Source organism: Homo sapiens, chromosome 5 (genome assembly GCF_000001405.40).
Source record: "Homo sapiens chromosome 5, GRCh38.p14 Primary Assembly".
NCBI classification, from domain to species: domain Eukaryota; kingdom Metazoa; phylum Chordata; class Mammalia; order Primates; family Hominidae; genus Homo; species Homo sapiens.
This window is the reverse complement of record NC_000005.10, coordinates 96,565,946-96,580,817: the sequence shown is the minus strand read 5'-3', so window position 1 is coordinate 96,580,817 and position 14,872 is coordinate 96,565,946. Positions and strand designations below refer to the sequence as shown.

Below are 14,872 nucleotides of genomic sequence, written 5' to 3'. Positions count from 1 at the left end.
AGACAGAAACATTCATACCATAGCAATTTCTAGCTTCTTACTACCTTGCCTTGCCTTTTCTGAACAAATTCATTTTTCAGTGATTCTCTTAAGATGTGATGCTTTCTCATAAATAAATATCTCACCCTAGAAGTGATCCGTATAAGGCAGGGCCTTGCTACTCCAAATGTAATCCATTGACCAACATAACCAACATCGCCCGAAGCTTATTAGACTGCAGAATCCCAAGCCCTACTCCAGATATGCTAAATCAGAATCTTAAGTTTTACAAGATACCCAGCTAATCTGCATGCACATTAAAACTTGAGAAACACTGTAGTAGAGCATGAAGGGCCCATAACTCCTGCTGCTGACTTCAGTATTTACGTTAAGATTACTAAAGTTTTGTAGATCATAGTAACGAAGTTCTCTATTTGGTTTTCAAATAAACTATTGGTAAACTGTTTCTTTAGTTAATCATGAACATTTTGTCCCTAAATGCAATATTTTGTCATTATCGTCATTAAATTTCATCACATTTATTTCAATTCATAATTCTGATTTACGATACTTTTTCTACATTTTAGTGTAGAAGCTCTTATTACCCAGTTTCTGGGGAAATTAATATAAAATTTTTAATAAAGACGTGTGGTAGGGCACCAGATTAGTCCCATTATACTCACTTTCCTTTGTCTTATGGACATATTAAATCCAGTTAAGATTAATTTTAAGACTAGCCTTATGGGAAAAGAGAAGGAAGAAGATATCATGTACAACACTTACATGAAAATATCTATGTATGTGGAAGTACTACAGTGACTTTGATCCTGTTTACAAAATAATCACCTCTTGACCCCTTGTTCTCACCAGCTGCTTGCAGGATAGATCCAGACATCAACTTAGGACTGTGTTATTGCCCCACGGCAGCGGTGCCTGAAAATCATTACTGCAATGATGACTAGGCCCATAATATTTCCAAGTTTCTAAATGCAGTAGAAGGCATCTGAGAGCCAAAGACAATTTGTTTTTCAAAAGTATACTGAACCTCTGTTCTGGACAAGATGTTGTAAATTTGTTTCTTCCTGTTCTGCCCCATGAACTACAATGAACTGTAAACCCTTGAAATTACTCAAGAGATGGCTGAAAGAGAACTCTGAAAGGTGATAAGAACAAGGAAAACTGGTGTGGGACACTAGTCAGGAGGAATAGCACAGCGGAATGGCATCTTATGGGCCCTAGCTGCCACAAGAAGGCAACCTAGACTTGGCATTTCCTGACCCCCAACCTACAATAGAAGATAGCCCAAGTTGGCTCATTTCTCTCCCACATCAAAAGAGAGTCTCTCTGAAAATATCCCTCTGAAACCAGGTGACACGAAGGGCAAGAGGAATAGAGCTAGAACCCCTGCTAACAATAAGTGTCTGGGAAGCACTCCCCTTTTCTGCCAGGTGGTGACTATTCTCCTGTGCCGAAATATACCTAAGCTAGAGGGAGAAACTGGCAAGAGGGATGCAGCCATAACAATTGGCCAGGCCTCTGGAAGCCTCTTTGAGCTCAGGACCCTGCCCAGGGACACCAGGGCAGCACTGGGGCATATTTGTAAGAGGATTATGCCACAGTAGGTACCTGGCCTAGGAAGCTCCCCACCTCCACTTCCACGTGCCTAGGACTCCTTCCCCACTGGGACACATGGGAACAGGCAGGCAGAACCAGCAGAAAGGACCCAGCCACACAAATGGTTTCCCCCAGAAAGCCTCTTTGTCCCTGAGACCTGAGTTCTTCCTCCATGGAGAGACAGAAGCAGCCTAGTCTAGGGAAACCCCTTCCACTTTCTTCAAGCAATACTGGCAGGAACCAGTGGACGCTCCAGTAGCAACAGGTAAGCCAAGCAAACCAAATAACAGGCCAAAGCTCTGAAAATTAAACTGCTATTGGAATCATAGCCTGCAAAAGTAAGCCAGGACCTGTGTGCTAAACCTAAATAGGGTAACTGCCTGCTAAAAGAGCTTTAAATAAGACCTAGCATCTCCTAAAAAAACAGACAAAATGTCCAACATACAATTTAAAAACACTGGCTACACCAAGAACTAAAACATCCCCAACTTCAACAGGAAAAGACAATCAACTAATGCTAACACTGAGATGAGTCAGGTGTTGGAATTATTTGACATGTATTTTAAAGCAACTGTCATGAAAATGTTTCAACAATAAATTGCAGATTCACTTCAAACAAATGAAAAAGTAGAAAATCTCAGTAAAGAAATAAATATGTCAAGACTAAATTTTAATTTTTTTTTCTGAAGTAACCCATAGGAAGATAATAAAAGATAAACAGAGGAAATGAAACAAGGAGAAATGAACAGAAAACAAATAGTAAAATGGAAGCCCTAAGTGCCCTAAATGTACATTGTCTAAATATACCAATCAAAAGGTGAGATTGTATTACCTATTTTCTTATGGACCGCATACAGTTGAGCATATGCTCAACTATATGCGGTCCATAAGAAACTCACATCAAATTTAGTGACATAGGTATGTTGAAAATAAAAAAAAAATGGAAAAAGATTATCATGCAAACATTAACAAAGAAGGCAGAATTGGCTATATTTATATCTGATAAATTAGACACCAGAGCCAAGAAAATTGCTAACAACAAAGAGAGACATTACATAATGATAAAAGAATTAGTTCACTAGAAAGTCATATGTTTACATACCAAGCAACAGTACTTCAAAATACACATGGCAAGAACCAATAGAACTGAAAGGAGAAATAGACACACTCACAACTATAGTTGAAGACTTCCATACCCTTCTCTCAGCAACTGACAGAAAGACTAGAAAGAAAATCAGCAAGGATATAGAAGATCTGAACAACACAATACACAAACAGGATCTAATGACATATATATTAATGTCAAAAAATATATATATGGCAAAAACTGCAATTACTTTTGCATCAACATAATAGAACGAAGATTCCATCCCAAAACAGTAAACTATGTACCCTTTTCAAGAGAACACAGAACATATACTAAGACAAACTGTATGCTGGACCATAAAACAGACACCAACAAATTTGAAAGAATTAAAATCATACAGAGTATGTTGATAATAGAATCAAACTAGAAACCAATAACAGAAGACAGGAAAATTTCTAAAAATAAGGAAACTAAATAACATGCTTCTAAATATTTCATACGTCAAACAGGGAGTCTCAAAGGAAATTAAAAATATACAGAACTGAATGAAAATGAAAATACAACATATGAGATTATGTGGGATCTATCTGAAGTAGTGCTGAGAGGGAAATTTATGGCACTAAATGCTTACATTAAAAACAAGGAAAAGTCTCAAATCAATAATTTAAGTTCCTACCTCAAGAAACTAGAAAAGTAAGAGAAAAATAAGCCCCAGACAAGCAGAAAGAAGAAAATAATAAAGATCAGAGTGGAATTAAATAAAATTTAAAGCAGCAAAATGACAAAGAAAATCAATGAAAATAACTAATTCTTAAAAAAATTAATAAAATTGATAAACCTCCACCAAGACTAACAAAAATGAAAAGGCAGAAAGTAAAGTTAGATCATTACAAATCCTACAAGATAATAATGGAATTCTGTGACCAACTTTATGATCATATATTTAACAACTTAGAATATAAATCAATCAATTTCCTGAAAAACCACAAACTGGGACATGGATGAAGCTGGAAGCCATTATCCTCAGCAAACTAAGGCAGAAACAGAAAACCAAACCCACATGTTCTCACTTGTAAGTGGGAGCTAAGCAATGAGAACACATGGACATAGGAAGGGGAACGACACACACTGGGGCCTGTTGTGGGAGGGCGAAGGATGGGAAGAGCATTAGGGAAAAGAGCTAATGCATGATGGGCTTAATACCTAGGCGATGGGTTGTTAGGTGCAGCAAACCACCATGGCACACATTTACCTATGTAACAAACCTACACATCCTGTACTTGTACCTTGGAACTTAAAAAATAAAACTGGAAAGAGGTCAGTTAGGGCCACTTACAAGCTGTATAATTAGAAAAAACAAAAACGAAAACAAAAAAGAAATACCACAAACAACCAAAATTCAATCCAGATAAAATAGGTAATACAAATAGCCCTACAACATTTAAAAAAAATGAATTCATAATAAAAAATATGAAAAAAAATCTTTAGATATATGTCAGGTGCGGTGGCTCACACCTGTAATCCCAGCACTTTGGGAGGTAGAGGCCAGTGGATCACTTGAGGCCAGAAGTTCAAGACCAGCCTGGTCAACATGGCTAAACCCCATCTCTACTAAAAGTATAAAAATTAGCCGGGCATGGTGATGTGTGCTTGTGACCCCAGTTACTCCGGAGGCTGAGGCACGAGAATCACTTGAACCCCCAAGGAGGAGATTGCAGTGAGCCAAGATTGTGCCACTGCACTCCAGCCTGGGTGACAGAGTGAGACTCTGTCACCAAAACAAAACAAAACAAAACTTTAGATCTAGATGATTTAACTGGAGAATGCTACCAAATACTTAAGGAAAAATTAACTCCAATTTTATAACCACATCCTCCAGAAAATAGAAGAAGGAACACTTTTCAACTCATTTTATCTGGCCAGTGTTGCCCCGATACCAAAATCAGACAAAGATAGTAAAAAAAGAAAACAACAGAACAATATCTGTTATGAAATTAGACAAAAATTTCCTCAACAAAACACCAGCAAATCAAATCTAAAAATGATTTAAAAGAATTGTGCACCATGACCATGTGGGACTTATTCTGGGTATGCAAGGCTGGTTCCTCATTCCCAAATCAATCAGTATAATCAACCATATCAACAAGGTTGATAACATTCAAGAAAAATTATATGGTCATATCAATTGAAGCAGAAAATGTATTTGAAAGCCTGGTGCAGTATCCCTAGCAATTTGGGAGGCCGAGGTGGGAAGATCCCTTGAGCCCAGGAGTGCAAGATCAACCTGGGCAACATAGTGTGACCCCATTGCTACAAATGATTAAAAAATTAGCTGGGCATCGAGGCACGTGCCTGTAGCCCCAAGTACTCAAGGGTCTGAGGTAGGAGGATTGCTTGAGCCCAGAAGAGTGAGGCTAAAGTGAGCAGTGATTGTGCCACTGCACTCCAGCCTGGGTGACAGAGTGAGACTCCGTCTTAAAAAAAAAAAACAAAAAACAAAAATTGTAAAAGCATTTGAAAAAATCCAATGCTCATTCATAATAAAAATTTCCAGTTAGTATAGAGGAGAATTACCACATTTTGATAGATAGCATCTACAAAAATCTTACAGCTGACATCATACTTAATAGAAAAGGACTAAACGCTTTTCCCCCAAGATCGGTAACAAGGCAAGGATGTTCATTCTGTCCATTCTTACTCAACATAGTACTAGAGGTCCTAGTCATTGCAATAAGTTGAGAAAAAGAAATAAAATTCTAAAGATTGAAAAAGAATAAAATTATTTCTGTTTGCAGAGGATATGGTTGTTTATGTAGAAATTTCAAGAAATGTACCAAAAAGTACTTCTAGAATTAATGTGAATTCAGCAATGACTCCATACAAGATCAACACACACAAATAAATCTCATTTTTATATACTAACAATAACATGTGAAACTGAAATGAAAAAATACAATACCATTGCAATTCCTCCAAAAATTAAAATATTTAAATATACATTTGACAAAATATTTTATAGGATCTATATCTTGAAAATTATAAAATGCAGATTAAATCTTTTAAAAACTAAATAAATGGAGAGACATATCACATAGCTAGATTAGAAGACCCAACAAAGATTTCAATTCTTTCCAAATTGATCTATAGGTTTAATGCAATTTCTTTCACTATTAATTAATTAATTAATTAAATATACAAACCAATTCTATGGTTTATTTGGAATGGCATGGGCAGAGAGATAGACACATGTAACAATGAAGCATAATAGAGAACCCAGAAATAAACCCATAGGAATGTGCTGTTTCGTATGGTGCACAGGTACAAAAACAATTTAATGGTGGGAGGATAGCAGTCTTTTTGACAAATCCTGGAGCAATTGGACATCCATATCCAAAAAGATGAACATAGGCAAGAAAACTTCATGCCTCAAAGAAAAATTAACCAAAAATGGATTGTAAACATAAATGTAAAATGTAAAATTACAAAACTTTTAGGAAAACACAAGGAAAATTTGAGAATTAGGGCTAGGCAAAGAGTTCTTAGACTCCATGCATGAAATACAATCCATAAAAGGAAAAATTGATGCATTGAACTTCATCAAAATAAAAACGATTGCTATGTGAAAGCCCATGTTGAAAAAAGATGAAAGACAAGCTACACAATGGAGAAAAGATTAGCAGACCGTATGTTCAATAAATGACTAGTACCTAAGATACACAAAAAAGCTATCAAAACCCAACAGAACAAAATGAATCAATCCAATTAGAAAGTGGGCAAATGAGGCCGGGCGCGGTGGCTCACGCCTGTAATCCCAGCACTTTGGGAGGCCGAGGCGGGTGGATCATGAGGTCAGGAGATCGAGACCATCCTGGCTAACAAGGTGAAACCCCGTCTCTACTAAAAATACAAAAAATTAGCCGGGCGCGGTGGCGGGCGCCTGTAGTCCCAGCTACTGGGGAGGCTGAGGCAGGAGAATGGCGTGAACCCGGGAAGCGGAGCTTGCAGTGAGCCGAGATTGCGCCACTGCAGTCCGCAGTCCGGCCTGGGCGACAGAGCGAGACTCCGTCTCAAAAAAAAAAAAAAAAAAAAAAAAAAAAAAAAAAAAAAAAAAGAAAGTGGGCAAATGTGTGATGTTTGGATAACAAATTTGGTGTATTTCCAATGGAATACTACGTAGCAATAAAAATGAATCAAATACTGAAGACAAATCATAGAAGATCTCAAAAACATTATAATAATCAAAACAGGCCAGAAACAAAGAATATACTATATGATTCCATTTATATGATGTTCTAAAACAGGCAAAAATCATCCCTCATGAGGAAATCAGAAGAGTGGTTGTTTGAGAAAGTTGGATTGTCTGAGAAGGGGCACAAGGGAACTGTTTAAATTTATGTAAATATTCTCTATCTTGTTTGCAGTGTGAGTTATATGGATATGCCTATGTCAGCATTCACCAAACTGTGCATTTATGATCTGTGCATGTCATTTTTTTTTTGAGACAGGGTGTTGCTCTGCCACCCAGGCTAGAGTGCAATGGCATGATCATAGCTCACTGCAGCCTTGATCTCCTTGGGCTCAAGCCATTCTTCTACTTTAGCCTCCTAAGTGTCTGGGACTACAGGCATGCACGATCACACTAGCTAATCATTTATTTTTTTATTTATTTTGTAGAGACGAGGTCTTACTATGTTGTTCAGGCTGGTCTCGAACTCCTGAACTCAAGCAATCCTCCTGCCTCAGCCTCCCAAAGTGTTGGGATTACAGGTGTGAGCCACCATGTCTGGCTTGTGCATGTCGTTTAATGTAAATTATGCCTCAATAACAAAGCATAAAAAATAAAACAAAAAAAACAAGAAAAAATTACATTTCAAGGTAACTCAAGATGCCTTAAAGCTCAAATTTCTGTCCTTCTGGAGACAAAAGATACATTAGAAAACCATCTGGCCCTTACCCAGTTGAGTCATCAAACCCAGTGCACAATCCAAGAACATAAACCATAAAAGGTAAACAACTACCTTATGGGGTAGACTCAGCAACCACACAGTTACTTACATCATGCATTGCTCCTTCTTGTCCTTCAGTATCATAGCTTTGTCCTTCTCTCCAATTAGTCATCGAGTAACTTCTTCCTGTCAACACTGGACTCCCTGCCTGGTTTACTTCTATCTTGTTGTGAACACACTTGTTACTCACTTAACCTTCCTTCCTTTTGTCTTACTGAGTCCCACCAGGTTGTGCATGATGCTGTGCATCCATACTTCCCAGGACTGCCAACACTTGGTAGACAAACACACAGCTAGCTCCCTCAGCTCTGATAGACTTGTGGCTGTTCTGCTTTCCTCACATGCCTGAGGAAAGAGAAAGCCTGCCCAAGGTGTAGAGACCAGCACAAGCAAGCTTTATTTTTCAGCCCAGGGACCCAGGCGAGTCTTGTTTTGATGCCCAAGTCAGATGTAATTGGGAGGAGGTAGGAGATGGAAGAAAAGGCCAGGAGATACCAAGTCCAACACTAAAGCGTCATTAAATCATTTCCTTTAAGTACTCTCTTTAGCATTATAGTTTTGAAGGATATTAAACTAGCCTGACCTATAGCTTTTGCACAAAGTGAAGTGTTATAAAAATAGCACAAGTTGGGACAGGGTGCAGTGGCTCACACCTGTAATCTCAGCACTTTGGGAGGCCGAGGTGGGCAGATCACCTGAGGTCAGGAGTTCGAGACCAGCCTGGCCAACATGGCGAAACCCCGTCTCTACCAAAAATACAAAAATTAGCTGGGTGTGGTGGTGTGTGCCTGTAATCCCAGCTACTCGGGAGGCTGAAGTAGGAGAATTGCTCGAACCCAGGAGGCAGAGGTTGCAGTCAGCCGAGATCGTGCCACTGCACTCCAGCCTGGGAGACACAGTGAGACTCCATCTCAAAAAAAAAAAAATAGCACAAATTGTGTCATCGGAAAGAGCCACGTTCAAATCCTAGTTCTGCAACCTATTGTGTGCATATATTTTGGGCAAATTATTTTACCTCTCTGAGTCTCATTTTCTACATCTGTCAATCAGATGAAAGCAACACTTCCCTGACAGGGTTGAACTTGATTTAAATGTTTATTATTTGTAAACCATTTATCCACCATTGCTGGCATATTATATGTGTCCATTCATTCATTCTATTAATTTCATTGGACAATTTATTTATTCACTCAACATCAATATATTTAATGATACACATTGAGCACTTTGTATATGTTAGAAACTGTTTTAGGGTGCATCAGTAAAGTCCCAACCCTAATGTAACTCACATTCCATTTGGGGAGGCAGGCAATAAGTAAGTGGATAAGCATGCGTTATAATGACAGAGTGATAAGAGCTACAAAGGAAAGTAAAACAGGGTAGGGATATAGAAGGTGGCACAAGATGCTATTTTTGGTCAAAAACCCCCTCTAGAGAGATCACAAATGAATGGAGACCTGACAGATGTGAGAGAGCAATCTACTGGAAATTTGTGATTCTTTTCCCCTTTGCTTCCTGGAATGATTGTTGATAACAGAAAACCTATCAAGCATGCTAGCTCCATTCAATGGTCGGTTCAGTTAACTGTGTAACTATGATCATCTTTAGAGGAATGGACCTAGATCAGAACACATGTGTTTCTTTATAACTCAATTCTGCCACAAGCCCCATCAATAACTATGAAATATTTTGAAAATTAATAGTATTGTTATACTAAATAAAATTTTTAACAAAGGATGCCCAGAGAATGCTTGTGTGAGGAAGGGTGGAGCAGTTTCTACTGGTCAAAGTGGAGAGGTATTAATGAGCAATCAGACTAAGCCTCTGTGGTGTTTTTTAAAAGCACCAGTGACTAGGCTATTGGTTTATGAGACCCTCTAGCCCTCCCTGCGCTGCCTATCTCTACGGAAGTGAAGAGCCCTGCAGGGTTTGGAGCTGGAATAAGGTCCAGATTTGAATACATTAGAGATGGCTTTGAGCTCAGACTCATTGCAGATGACAGGTCTGGATTCTTGGACCACTCCTCAATGCTTGACATTCAATGTCAGAGGTCAAGAAAACTCCAACAGTCACCAGAATGAAGCTCTGCTGGCTACATCCTGCTCCTCTGAATATATACTTGTTTCCACCTTGTGTAATATCATCATGCAGAATTGCCCCAAATTCATAACAGTGTTCAAACTTATGAGAGAGCACCAGACACGGCCAATAAAAAGTCAGAGGAATTCACATTGGATTGCTTGGTCTGTGACAGCATTCACCCTCCACTTACCCAGGAAATTATTCCAGTTCCATCTATAACTCAAACAAACTTGGGTTTGAGTTGAAGGTGACTCAAACTTGGGTTACCTTATGATGTTTCAGCATTGCATTCATTCAAAAGAGATACCAGTTTAATATTTTTCCTAAAGTAGTAAAAACTAATTTAAATCTTTACCGAAGTTGCTTGGAAAAATGCTACAAGGGAGAAACTCGCTATAGGGCACACTCTACATGTTTTAAGCATCCTCTTTACCTTCATTCTATTTTCATTGTATTCATTACAGAAAGGAATCCGCTCAAATGTCTCTTTTCTCATCCATCCCTTCTTCATCTCTATTTTTCTTGGCTTTTCTCCCTCACTCCCTCTCTCTCCTTAATTTCACCTTTATTATTAATTGCCCTTCTTTGAGTTCTAGGCTATTCTAATGTACACTAATTTAGCTTTTCCCTAATCCTTTCATTTCAGCCACTCTTTCCATTACCTTGATATCTACAACAGTAATCCAGGCCATGGCTCCATGATTACCAAAGAGTATTTCCTTCTTCACCAGCTGACATGGTTGGGGGAAGCTGTGAATACCTAAATGCTATTATTTTTATTGCTCTTGAAACTCATTTTATAAATCTTTTTGAGTGCCTACTCTGCCCAGCATCATGGCATACACACAGTGGTGAAAAAGACAAGTCCTCTTCCTAAGGATATTAAGGATCTTATTGTCATGTTAGGCAGACAGACAAGTTCATAAACTTGTGGTTCTCAACCACGGTGCTGTGAAACATTCACAAGTGAGCAACGGATTTTAGATCAGGGTACGATTTTCTTTGTTGTTCTCTCTGAGGATACAGCCTGTCACTATGATGTCAGTCAGATGGAATTAGATTGAGAAGGTCTTAGACTGGGAAATGTGATTGAGCTCCAGGTGCCACCTTCTCTGTGGGAATGAAACAGGTGAAGCACAATGTTAAACCCCTGCCGAATCAGATGTATAGTTTACTGACTCACAGGAGAAATGTGCTTTGTGCACATATAAGAGGGAAGGCAGGCAATAAACAGTAAAACAATGCTGAGGAGAAAGTAATAGCTGTGAGTGCTTTTCTAGGCACCATAAGATATTGTACTGGATCAGTGATCGTGTTGTCGCTATGGATGACTTGTTTAGTGCTGTGTTGAGACTTTTAGTCCCTTCAAGTGAGACTTTCCTAAACTCTAGTATTTCTAGGTTAGCAGTAAGACAAAAGAAACTGAGAATCACAAACCAGGAAATCGCAGATGGATGTGGAAATTGACAGGGTGTAATGGGGACTCAGAGGAGGGGAGCCTGCACAGTCTGGTATGTTTGGGATGAGGGAAGCAAACAGCAACAGGTGCAAAGAGAAGTGGCTTATAAGAACAGCGGCATAGGATTGGCATCTGGGTCTTAGAAATATAGCATTCAGTGGGTTTCCCAGTAGACTTTCGTTTTAAAAATATATATAAATTATTCCTGTTTATTATTCATCTATCTTCAAGTAGCTGAGCCAGAATTTGAACCTAGGTCAGTTTGACTTTTCATCATGAATGCTTCCCACTCTGACATGATACTTTTTGATTGTCACACACATTATACCTTTGTGGCAGAAGCAGACCCATGAGTGGGAGGTCTCTCATTGCATCTGTTTCTTCCAAGAGCTGGGACATTACGAATGTTTTTTGAATGTCTACTTCAGCAGGGAGGAATTCCATAAAATGAAGTTTGTTTGTATTGGTTTGGTACCTAGAAATGCTCAGGGAGTTCCTTCCACTCATGATCCTAAAATGTGTCACAGCAACAGCTGAGGAGGTGGCCACCATGGGTTTGTGTTCCTGGAGTGGCAATGTCCAGAGAAGAGTTGGTCTGAGCAGAGCGTAGCTGCTGCCTTGTGCCAGCCCACTCTTCTATTTTCTGCTCTGACACAACAGCAAAAGCTGCTTCACTGCTGACTTCTCATCCATGCTATTGTCTTTCCATACAACTTTCATTGTCCCTTCTGCTTGGTTTTCTCTCACAAGATTCTGCATAGGCATAGATTTAGTTATTATAGCTATTGGTGGAGAGCTGGTCCTTTTAGTTTTCTTTGACCATTCCTTTAAATAACTCCCCTGTCCAACAAGGAAAAAAAGTAAATATTCCCATGAAAACAAAAAAATATGCACACAAAGAAGGAGCACCTTTATTTCTTAGTAATCAGAGGCAAAATATAATGCCAGAATATTCTTAAACTCCCTCAGTATTAAAGATATAAACCAACTGCCCTTATCTTCTTTTTTTTTTTTTTTTTTTTTTTTGAGATGGAGTCTCGCTCTGTCGCCCAGGCTGGAGTGCAGTGGTGCAATCTTGGCTCACTGCAAACTCTGCCTCCCAGGTTCAAGTGATTCTCCTGCCTTAGCCTCCCAAGTAGCTGGGATTACAGGCACCCCCTGCTATGCCCAGCTAATTTTTGTATTTTTAATAGAGATAAGGTTCTAGCATGTTGGCCAGGCTGGTCTCTAACTCCTGACCTCAAGTGATCTGCCTGCTTCGGCCTCCCAAAGTGCTGAGATTACAGGCGTGAGCCACCGTGTCCGGCCTTCTGACTCTTAATAGCAAACAAATAGATGAAAGAACATCTGTCAACAATGTATGACAGTTTGAGAGTCAAGGGGGTTTAAGCAATCCACCAACTTTCTGGTATGGATTAAGTCTCAACCCAGCATCAGATACACGCTTGCTCTTAACACACCTAAAAATGCGAAAGGATCTTCACTACCCAGAAAAGAGGTTTTCAGCCTTTGTTCAGTCAAAAAGTACCCTTTTAGATGAAGTTTTAATCCAAAGTCTAAGAAATCTAAACCCCTGAAGCAGATAAAAATGAAGCAGCTCTGATCAGGACAAAGAAGGCATCCTGCCTCCCCTGCCACCCTCTCCTCCTCCATGGAACTCTGAAGCTCTGACAAAGCAGATTAAAAGGCCAAAATCATGAGGGGGCTTTAAAATGTGAACATTGTCTGGTTCTGAACTACCTTGTCCCTGTCATCCCCTGTCTACATTCCCAACTACAAGCTCTAAATGTCCAGGTGAAGCCTCCTTATGGGTCTTTATATCTCTCCTGGCCGAATGTTCCATAGATACTTACTGAATTAATACGTGACTGGCTGTAAATGTACTATGGGCATCTATACATGAAAAGAAGAAAAGAACGGGAAGCCTGATCTCAAGGGGTCAACAATTTAGTCAACAGAAAAAATAAGAGTAGGTTAGGAAAATGGTTAAGTACAAACAGAATGGAAGTCCCTGTTTACACAAGCAGCAGCCCCTCAGAGAACACCTTTATGGAGGAAGTGGCATTTGCACTTTCTCCAAGGATGAATTAGGACTGATTAGGTAGTGAGAAGGCAATTCCTGCTGGTGGAATGCAATGGAGCTGAGAATTAGTAATAATGCCTTTTTGTGGTCAGGAAAGAGACGGTCTGGCAGGAAGGAAGGACTACCACTGGGGAGGCATAGGAAATATGCATGGATAGATATGCTGAGGCGAAGCTGTTGGGCGCGTTATAAATCAAGCAGCAGAGTTGGGTGTGGTTTGATTTGTAATGTGGAACCATCATCTCTTCTTAACTAGGAGAGTGCCATGCAGAAAGCAGTAAATTAAGATCTTGAGGAGAGGAAAAACGTGATTCAAGTCTTACTTAGACTAAGAAAATTTGTCTGGCAGTGTTGTGCTGAGGAAAGAGAGTAGCTAGAAGGCTGTTTTAATAATGAATGAGCTCTCTTCTTTTCTGCTGATAAGGAGATGCAGATGCCTACACTCAAATGCAGAAACTCCCATATAATTTGCAGCAAATGCTGACACCAGCCCTCGTGGCCCTTCTTGTGCAGATGAAAGGAACCCAATGCTGGGCTTAAAACAAGTTGGTACGTGTTTGCAAACAAGTACATTTGAAACAAAACAAAGCAAAACGAAACTAAAACATAAGTAAAGCACTCTCAGTGTTTTACAAACTCAATGACCATCTTGATTATTTTAAAACTCCATTTCTATGCTCAAAGTTGTGGCAGTTTTTTATTTTATTAATTTGAATTTTTAAAACTTGTATCATCAATGTGCTGGTTTCTGTATATGTTTCTTGTCAGCAGAAGGGGTCATGTGTAGTTTGTGTGCATTTTAAAATTGCGAATCTATCTCACCCCTCCTTTAGTTTTAGACTTTAAATGACTTGAGGTATTCTGCTTTGCAACACCCTGTAGTGCCTAGCTCAGTGCTCTGAATATGGTGACTAGTAAGTGAATACAGTGGGTCATGGACCTCTCAGACCTTGTCTTCAGCAGGTCCCCTCCATCTTTGCAGATTCCTAGCTTTCTTGCTTTATAACCTGTGGTTCCTCCTGTTTGAAGAAGGGAGAGAACCACTTCTGGTTGTTTTCTTCAATTTTGCGTCATCAGTGATAGATTAGCATCACCTTGTCACGTCTTTTCACTAATGTCTTCCCTTCCTGTTTTGCTTTTGGGACCCATCTGTTTCCATCTTAATTTGGAAAAGAAGGGACTACATTAAAGGAACAATGGAATCAACAAGTCTAATATATGATTCAGACAAATTCCAAAGTTGCTTTTCTCCAAGGCAGAATTTGCACACAGAAATTCACGTTCATTAGGCTAAAGGCAGAGCGTGTCAAGTCAGCTACAGGTTTAATTGAGAGGTCAGAACCTTTTCTCTCTGTCATTCCCACTGAAGACATCATTAGAGCTACAGTAAAATAAGAGAATGTCACAGAATGTCAGCCTAGTCATAGTGCAACTGTTCTTTTTCATTAGTGACTCAGCTGGTTGCTATGGAAACCTCACTCTAGTATCAGGGATACTAGGGCTGATGATTCTCCGCCTCTATTTTCAGTTAGGATAAATTGTGCTCCCACCTCATGGGCTCC

At 39.3% G+C, this 14,872-nt stretch overlaps 1 protein-coding gene and 1 long non-coding RNA gene across 12 annotated transcripts in view, besides 1 other annotated feature; both read right to left on the bottom strand.

Annotated features, from left to right (window-relative positions):
- The window catches only part of CAST (calpastatin), an 813,255-nt gene that overhangs the window by 193,866 nt on the left and 604,517 nt on the right, over positions 1 to 14,872 (bottom strand). The gene's annotated exons all lie outside the window — the stretch shown is intronic.
- Positions 1 to 14,872, bottom strand: part of LOC101929710 (uncharacterized) — a 669,085-nt gene that overhangs the window by 50,268 nt on the left and 603,945 nt on the right. The window lies entirely within an intron of this gene.
- Positions 14,507 to 14,707: a silencer, noted in NCBI's record as "peak5361 fragment used in MPRA reporter construct". NCBI's record gives its function as "represses an SCP1 promoter by STARR-seq MPRAs in K562 erythroleukemia cells {active_cell/tissue: K562}" and the evidence as "EXISTENCE:reporter gene assay evidence [ECO:0000049][PMID:32103011]".